Below are 9,741 nucleotides of genomic sequence, written 5' to 3'. Positions count from 1 at the left end.
TTTCTATTTTGAACTTTGATAGTTACTTACATTTAAAAGGTATAACTCTCCTTATATGGGTGCCTATAAGTATTTCATTTCCAGCTAAGGTAATGAGTATATTAGAAAGGAAATGTATATAAAATTATTATAATTTAGTTGCTTTAAAAGGGCAAATTTGGAAAATACAACAAATGAGCAGTTAGTTCTCTTAATAGGTGAGTGAATGAGCTGCAAGAAACAACATGCACTTAAGGTTTACTGCAGTTTCTTACTAAGATCACTCCCATTCCTTTGATTAGAGTTAAACTACCTTGAAGTCCATAATACATTCATCACTATAGAAGTGAACACTGAACGACGTAGGGGAACAAGGGGACAAAATATAAGAGGCTGTCAAAAGAAAGCAGTTCCAGCCACCACCACACTTTGGAAAGCACGAAAGAGTGATCTCTTTTTTAAGCAGCTGCTTCTTATTTTTATTATTTTTATCAGTTTACATGTGTCAACAAACTGGGCATTGAAGAATTTTATACTTTTAAAAATAGATCATGAACAGAGAGGTTAAAAAATTGTGGAAAATGTAGACGAAATGGCCAAAGATAAAGAATATGAGACTTGACATGGGTATTCGTATTTCTTGATTTTATTTTATTTTGCTTTGTATCCTTTCACATAGGAGTAGAATTTGGCTAGAAATATACACCTGATCTGGAGAGATGGGTTTGCTTAGGCAGAATTTTGTAACATCTCTAATTAATAATAATATATCTGTGAAACATCAGATATCAGTTGGTATTAAAATTGAAGGTGCAATTTCCACATAAATGACATTTGTGCATTCTTAGGCCTGAGGTCCTTCCCAACTTCCTTTCCTTTTCCTTTTCTCCCAGACACCCAGTGCTTTATACTGGTTTCAAACTGTTAGCTTTTGCCCTAATAAAATCGAATTTTCAATTACCTCCTATTCTTATCCTATAAATGGCATCCTTTGATATTTCTTTCCTTGTTTTCAACAATTCAAATTATGCTATAGATTTCTCATTCTTCGTCGGAATATATTTCACCTGTGGTCTTGCTGGAATCATCATTCTTTGTATTTTGTTCTCCATGACAACAAGCCCGAGCATTTAAGCTGTGCTAGGCCAGTGATCACACCGCAACCCTTTGGGAGGAGCAATTGACTGAAACCTGGGCACAAGGACCCAGACATGGTGAGAATCATCCAATGGACTCTCCTGCTGGAAATGGTGGGGAAAACTGTCTTCATTTTGGATCACTAGCTGTTAGCATACAGGGTTATGATTTACAGAAGTCATCTTTCTCAATGAGGCAAAAAAGTTATCTGCAACAGGAATTAAAAAAAAACCTGGAAGAAAAGAGAAGCACAGATAAGCAAAACTGATAAAGGCAGAGCCAAGATGATATTATTTTCATTTTGATTCTACTGCTCCCTGAGACAAACATCTTTGTTACATGAACTAATAATTACTTTGTGTTTTTGAGTTAAGTTTGAATTGGGCTTCTGTAGTGCATATGTGTGAATGAGTTAACCCAAACCAAAGCATCTATATTGTTAATCAAATAATTAAGCTGTAGCATTTGTAGGAATGTAAATTTATAGATAATTAAGATATGTTTACAGTATATGTAAATACTTATTAAGATACTTTATAATACACTTGTTTAATTTGCATAACGTGCAATTTCAGAATTAATATTTTCAGAAATTTAATATTCTTAGAAATTTTATGGTAATTTTTTATTTTCTTTAATAATTATTATTTGGGTTTTTAAACACAAACATTAACTAATTTAGTTATCTTTTAACAATCACACAGCTAATAAATATTGAAGTTGGACTTGAACTCAGATGTCCTAATTCCTGTTTTAGGACTCTTCCTTGATACTAAATATCCCTTTCCTTTCAGTCACCCCTTTTCTATTCTGAATTTTTTCAAACTCTAGGCCACTCCTCTTTCACTGATATGCTGGTTGTTCAGCAATGGAAAGACTCATGATTCTGTTATGTTCCCCAACCTCCCTTCACAACTTGCCCCACACATACACACACATTGTTCTATGTAGAATCACCTCTGCTGTAGAAAGCGAGAATGAACTAAGAGGATGGTGAAAATGCAGACCTACCAATGGCAAGCTCATGCCAACATAAGGCATCCTGTGTGTGCAACTTACACTTGATTTACAGGTATTGAACAAGTTTAAAAACAGTGGAATTGTATAGAGAGTTATATCCTCATATGAAGCCTTGTTCTTTCAACATAGAGCCTAGGGCACTTTGTTAATAAATTTAAAAATTTAATTAAAAATAACCAAAAAACAGCTTCTTTTCAGAAGACATAGGTTCTTCCAAGATGAATGGAGTCTGAACGTATCTACCTCATCTGTTTTTATTTTCTGCTGCTTCAAAAATCAAAATTTAGAGAATGTTTTACTTTCACGGATAACACAAAGAGGAAGATGTATTTCTTGGCATCAAAGATTGAAACATAGAAAGGATGATGGAAGGTGCGCAGAGAAATAGAATGAGAATGGGATGCAAACAAAATGCCCCAAAGCTTTTTTATTAACTTAGTTTCCAGTGGAAAATATCAAAGTAGGTGTTTTAGTCATGTTTCACCCCAAAAAAACAAACTAATAAGACACATAGAAAGACATATAGGAAGTGACTTTTTTGAGGGATTTGCTCAGGCAATTATGGAACCTGAGAAGTTTCAACATGTGTTCTCTAGAGGTAGAGGCCCAGAAAAGCCAGCAGTGTAATTTCAGTTCAAACCCAAGGGCCTGAGAAGCAGGGGATCAAATGCTGTAAAAGTCCCTAGCTCAGTCTGAGGGCCTGAGAAGCAGGAGCACTGATGTCTAAGCACAGGAGAGCATGGATGTCCCAGCTCAAACGAGCAAATTTGCACTTTCTTGGCCTTTTTGTTCTATGCTTGCCCTCAAAGGATTGGATGATACCCACTAGAGTTGGTGAGGGTGATCTCCTTTTTCAGCCTTCAGATTCAAATGTGACTCTCTTATGGAGGCACCTTCACAGATACACTCAGAGATACATTTTTTTTTTTTACCAGCTATCTGAGCATCCCTTAGCCAAGGCAAGTTGACACATAAAATTAACCATCTCAGCAGGTTTTAAAATTGATTATAGGTTCCTGTAGTAACGGAACATATTCTGCCATTGACTCTCATGTACTTTTCCATCTCACATCAAGAATATTCTTCTGGAAGCCCTGAGATTAAGCTCCTCAGACTTTCTGCTACAGAAAGTATTCTTGACATAGAGCCCTGGCTGCTTTGCTTTTAAATTCATTTCAGCATCTGTGCCAAAGCATTTTCCCCGACAGGCTGATCCCTGTGGATGACTGAGTGTGACAGAGAGACTAAGATCCTAGGAAACATGGGATCCCTTTGTCAGCTGACTTGTGCTCAAAAAAATCTTTGGCATTTCAAATGAATAGTTCTTAGGCTGCATGGCAGTCCAGGATGGGTCCAGCCAATTTTCTCTTTTTCACTTTGGGTCAAATTTGCTTTGGGCTCTTATGGCTCTTCCAGGTTCCCCCTATTTATTTTTCCCATAGTTATTTCCCTAATAAAACCCAAACACATTTATTTATTTACTTATTTTTTGAGACAGAGTCTCCCTCTGTCACCCAGGGTGAAGTACAGAGTCATGACCTCGGCTCACTGCAAACTCTGCCACCCTGGCTCAAGTGATTCTCTTGCCTCAGACTCCTATGTAGCTGAGACTACAGGTATGTGCCACTGCCCCTGGCTAATTTTGTATTTTTAGTAGAGAGGGTTTTTTGCCATGGTGGCCAGGCTGGTCTCGAACTCCTGACCTCAGGTGATCTGCCAGCCTTGGCCTCCCAAAGTGCTGGAGTTACCAGAGTGAATCACCATACCCCTGGCCATCCACACACATTTAATCCCATATTAGCATCTGCTTCTAAGAGAACCTGGATTAACATAGATGCATACAGTGGGTGCCCAGCAAATATTTGCTCCTGATTTTACCATGATCAAAAATGACAGGGTAGACCTCATCATGTATTTAGTTTTGGAGTATTGAAGTAAGAGTCATTTATTTTTTGATTATGGCTTCTAATCTTTAATATTCTTGGTGAATTGTGTTTTGTTCCTTATTTTGAAGCAAAATACATTATTTTATATGTTCTAATACCTAAAGACTAATTTATCACTCTACTTTTCATAATATGAATGTCAGGATGTATATTTCTTTCCTTAAAAAACTAAAAGTGCATGTGTTCTAATTTTGTTTTACAGACACGTTAGCACTTATGCTGGCAAAAATTTTGTCTACACTTAATGCCAGCATTTCAAAACACTTTCGTTATTAAAGATTTGACAGCTGTGAATTTTTGTAACTTATAGAAAATTTTACAATTAAGACTAAAGCAAGCATTATAAATATATAAGTTAAAAAGCCATATGCTTAAATGTAATTCATATGAGAATGCAGCAGTTCATAAAGAATTGACATTATCTTTTTAAACTGGTAACACTTGACATTCATCCATACACTGTAATTTTAGCCTCATAGACATGTTCAATCAGAATGGTGTGATGAAATTTACACACTAAACAAAAAACTTCACATATTCTGCTGATTTTCCTCAGAATGTAAGAAACACATTTCTTTTCTTCTTCTTGGCCTTTTCTCCTTTTTTTCTCCTGTCCTCGTGGATTTTCATCACAATGAAAAGTCAATTTCCTTAAGCAAAAATTGTTCGTAGCTTTGTGGACACATAACATATGCACTACAGTAAAATAGCTGAAGGCCTGTGTGCTACCAAAGCTTGCCACGAAAGTTCAATGTTTTGGTTGTTGGGATAGTGTCTGAGAAAGAAAAAAAAACAGTATTAATGACTTTAGCCAATATTAGCTGAAGTCACAAGTTTCTTATACTAACAATAAAACCATATCTATTGGTTGTACATGTCTCTTTATCCCATCTATCAAAAGCTACACATTTTCCTTTTTGAGGTAGGCAGTTACAGTCCTTTTCTTTACTACAGTTGAGAGCAACTTAATCAGGTTTAGAGGCTATGAAATAATATATAATGGGGCAAGATGACTGGTCTTCATCTCTTTTGTCTACTCGAAATACTGCTGCAAATGTAAAGACCTGTGAAGCTTGGTCAAGCCACACTTCACAAAGCATCGAATATATATTTTGAACACACTTGATAGCAAATAAACAGGACAAAATAAGTTCCTGTAATTTTAACTAGTGTCATTTCTTGGTGAGTATGGAAATACCATATGGGGATCTTTAAAATGACCCTTAACCCTGGAAAAGAATTCTAATAGGACAGCAAAGCAATCTCCCCAGGAGGCTGCCGTGTACAGCCAAGTACCTCTGCGGCTCAAATGGCCCCTTTTGACTCCACTCAAAACGGTTTCATGGTTCCTTGCAGTTAATTAAAAGCTATTTAAACAAGATAATTTTCTTCTTCCAGGATTCTGGATATTTCCTTTCAGAAATATTATAAGGGGTTAATTGTCTCCGCGGTTTCTCATGGGCACTTTACTCTGAGCTTTGCAGGCCTTCTGTGATGAAGGTGCCTTCCTAACTGTTCGAGGCAAATCTCATGGCAGCCTTTATGAGGCTTCTGCCTGAGCGATAAAATCCTCCTTGTTTCTAAAGAGCCACTTTTCATTTCAGGCAGTCCCTGTGGAAAGAGAGATACATTTCCACAAATGTGGGAGGTTGGTAATGACCACTTTTATGACCCACATAATCAAATCTCTCTTTCTCATCATGACCTCATATTCGCGTATCCCAGGCTGAAGCCACCCAGGCGCTACCCCCACTCCCACAATTCTGTTAAATAATGAAGCTGCCCAGCCAAGCTATAGACAGAGCTGTTCAGCTGTGACATAAAAATGTACTGTTAAAATAAGCTTCCCTTTTGCCTCAACAGGATACTAAGTATCTAAATTATTTTCTCTTTTCTTTCTTTCTTTATTTTTTTTTTGTGCGACAGAGTCTCTCTTTGTTGACCAGGCTGGAGTGCAATGGCACAATCTCAGCTCAGTGGAAACTCCGCCTCTTAGTTCAAGCGATTCTCATGCCTCAGCCTCCAGAGTAGCTGGAACTACAGGTGTGCACCACCACAGAAGGCTAATTTTTGTATTTTTAGTAGAGATGGGGTTTCAATATGTTGCCCAGGCTTGTCTCGAACTCCTGGCCTCAAGCAATCCATCTGCCTTGACTTCCCAAAGTGCTGAGATTACAGGCGTGAGCCACGGTGCCCGGCCAGTATCTAAGTTCTTTACATTTCCTTGTTACTTGTTTCCACTTCAAGAAGCATAAGATAAAATTAACCCTACTAGCTAATTAAAACTCTTATTCAGCCCGACTCTGACAAACCTCGTTAAGCAAGAAAATGTGTTGTCTGGATTCCTATAAAAACAAACAAAAAATGCTCATATCTTAGCTAGTCACTGGCATGAGGAATAGAAAGCTGACTTTTAATTCTCATTCATTTGTTTCTAACCCTCAATCATTTATTTATTATCTCTTTCCTCTGCATTTTGCCTGTATGTGACTTGGTTTTTCATTCAGCTCTAAACATTTGCACAGCAATGTTTCCCGTCGTACTCAGAACAAATGTCTATTCCCTTCCCCACGCCTCCTTGTCACCTTTTAGGAAGAGGCTCCCAGGGAAACCTCTCCAACCAATCTAAGTCTGAAAAGTTGAGAATATGCTTTCTAACGAACGACTACATCTATATGTGTTCCAATTTTTAATTAAAAATATTTTTTAGTTTCAAAGAAGCAAACTTGTAAACAATGTTTAAGTTCTTTCAACCTAAAAGTATTTTGAGGTTGTTATATCTGCACATTGTCTGCACAACGTCTTTAGCTACTGACCAGTGAGTGATGGGTTCTTCCAAGTTCCTTTCTCAGCTATTGCCTTTCCCTTCTTTACACGTGCTCCTCCTCCTCTTCTTTCTCTTCACATTTTTCTCTTTTTACCTCTACACTTGCTCCAGAGAAAATCTCAGATCTTTTGCATCCCTTGTTTTTAATTCCATCTTCTGTCAACACTACACTGACAATTCCAAACTTAGGGCTATAACTCAAGATTCCATCAATAATGTGCAGTTTTCTTATGTTCAGGAAAAAAAAAAAGAAGACTGGCCAAGCTCTCTATGCTATGGAGTGGGAGGGGGATGATAGAAGGCAGGAGAATGACTTGCTCACAGATATGGTTGATAAAGTTGGATTAAAGATATTGATATTATCAGGCAAGAGAGCCATGGTCAAGGTAGACACAAAAGTCAAGATTTCAGGTGCAAAGATTAGAAGTAGTTGTATCATGGGAAATGAGGAAGCAGTAATGCTGAGTATGATAGGCAGAATTCTAAGATTGCCTCACGACTTCCACTCCTCAGGTGTACACATCTTGTTTAATTCTCTGAACTCTGAAAGTAATAGATTTTACTTGCATGAGTAATCTGATTTAGCCTGTACTATAGGGCAAGGTTGACCATGAGATAGGGAGATGATCCAGGCCTAATCACATGCCCTTTTAAAGCATAGAGTTTCCTCCTGCTGATTGCAGAAGGGAAATTGGAGACCGAAAGCAGACATATTTATGTGTTCTTGCTGGCTTGGAGATTATGGAGACCGCAAGACCACGGACAAGAAATGTAGGTAACCTCTAGAGACTGAGAGCAGCACTTGATTGACAGCAAACATGGGGATGAGGAATGGTCTCATAATTGCAAGGAGCTAGATTCTACCTACAAGAACGAGCTTGGCAACACACATTTCCATGTAGCCTAACAATGAGAATTCAGCCGGACTGACACTTTGATTTCAGTTTTATGATACTGTGAACACACAAGCCAAACTGTGCTGGAATTCTGACCTGGAAGTATGAGGTATAATGGCTATTTTTTTAAGGTGCTAAGTTTGAGGTAATTTTTTGCAGCAATAGAAAACCAATATACATAAACCAGAGAGTGAAAATGGCCAACTCTCAAAAGTAGGCTTTTATGTAGTTGCAGCAGTGTCTGTGCAAAGGTAGGATGGCACGATTTAAAAAGTTGAAAGCAAATTCTATTATGGAGTGTATCTAACTCTTTAAGTCCTTCCTAGAAATTTTTATGTGGCTATAGAGCCAGAATCTTAAAATCAGTGTGTTTGAAAGCTACTTTCATTCTTTTGCTGTCCCTTATTGGCTACACTATAATGTGCCTCTTTGGCAGAAAAACAGACCCCAAAGATATTCATATCCTTAGCCCTGGAACCCCTGGATGTGTCATGTTCTATGGCAAAGGGGAATTAATATTGCAAAGGGATTAAGATTACTAACCCATTTATCTTAAAGGGAAATGCCATTGCAGTGTTACTCCAGTGATACTTGTAAAAGAGGAAGAGGGGCACATAAGAGTCCAACCAGAGAGATGGCATTGTGAGAAAGATGCCACCTGCCATTTCTGACTTTGAAGATGGAAGGGTGTTATGGGCCAATGCATTAGTTTGTTTTCATGCTGCTTTGAAGAAATATCCAAGATTGGGTAATTTATAAAGGAAAGAGTTTCATTGACTCATAGTTTTGCATGGCTGCGGAGGTCTTAGGCAGGAGAGAGAGAAGTGCAGATCGAAGGGGAAAAAGTCCCTTATAGAACCATTAGATCTTGTGAGAACTCACTCACTATCATGAGAACAGCATGGGGGAACTGTCCCCATTATGTAATCACCTCCCACTCGGTCTCTCCCCCGACACATGGGAATTACAATTAGGATTAAAATTCAAGATGAGATTTGGGTGGAGACTCAGAGCCAGACCATATCATTCTGTCCCTTGCCCCTCCCAAATCTCATCTTCCTCACATTTCAAAACACACTTATGCCTTCCTAACAGATCCCCAAAGTCTTAACTCATTTCAGCATTAACTCAAAGTCTAAGTCCATAGTCTTATCTGAGACAAGGCAAGTCCCTTCTAACTATGAGCCTGTAAAATTGAAAGCAAGTAAGTTACTTCCTAGATACAATGGAGGTACAGGCATTGGGTAAATATGCCCATTCCAAATGGGAGAAATTGGCCAAAACAAAGGGGCTAGAGGCCCCATGCAAGTCTAACATCCAATAGGGAATTCATTAACTTTAAAATTCCAAAATGATCTCCTTTGACTTCATGCCTCACATAAAAGTCATGCTGATGCAAGAAGTGGGCTCCCACAGCCATGGATAGCTCTGCCGATGTTACTTTGCAGGGTACAGCCCCTGTTCTGGCTGCTTTCATAGGCTGGTGTTGAGTGCCTGGGGCATTTTTAGGCACACAATGCAAGCTGTCAGTGGATCTATCATTCTGTGGTCTGGAGGATGGTAGCCTTCTTCTCACAGTCCCATTAGGCAGTGCCCTGGTGGGAACTCTGTGTAGGGGCTCCAACTCCACATTTCCCTTTCACACTTCCCTAGCAGAGGTTCTCCCTGAGGGCTCTGCCTCTGTAGCAAAATTCTGTCTGGACATCCAGCATTCCTATACATCTTCTGAAATCTAGATGGAGGTAACAGATCTCAATTCTTGTCTTCTTTGCAACTGCAGGCCCAACACTATGTGGAAGCTACCAAGGCTTGGGGCTTTCACCCCCTGAAGCAATGGCCTTAGCTGTACCTTGGCCATTTTTAGCCATGGATGGAGTGGCTGGGATGCAGGGCACTAAGTCCTGAGGCTGCACACAGCAGAGGGGCCCTGCACCAA

At 38.8% G+C, this 9,741-nt stretch overlaps 1 long non-coding RNA gene across 1 annotated transcript; it reads right to left on the bottom strand.

Annotated features, from left to right (window-relative positions):
* Positions 1–609: 609 nt before the first annotated feature.
* Positions 610–5,712, bottom strand: LOC105372749 (uncharacterized). Its single transcript, XR_937611.4, has 3 exons — positions 5,379–5,712; positions 4,600–4,857; positions 610–1,348 (listed from the first exon to the last, which is right to left on the bottom strand). It is a non-coding gene; the product is annotated as an uncharacterized LOC105372749 (long non-coding RNA).
* Positions 5,713–9,741: the final 4,029 nt, after the last annotated feature.

The sequence above is a fragment of the Homo sapiens genome, chromosome 21 (genome assembly GCF_000001405.40).
Source record: "Homo sapiens chromosome 21, GRCh38.p14 Primary Assembly".
NCBI lineage: Eukaryota > Metazoa > Chordata > Mammalia > Primates > Hominidae > Homo > Homo sapiens.
Note: the sequence above shows the minus strand (reverse complement) of the source record. Positions and strands in the feature narration are given on the sequence as shown.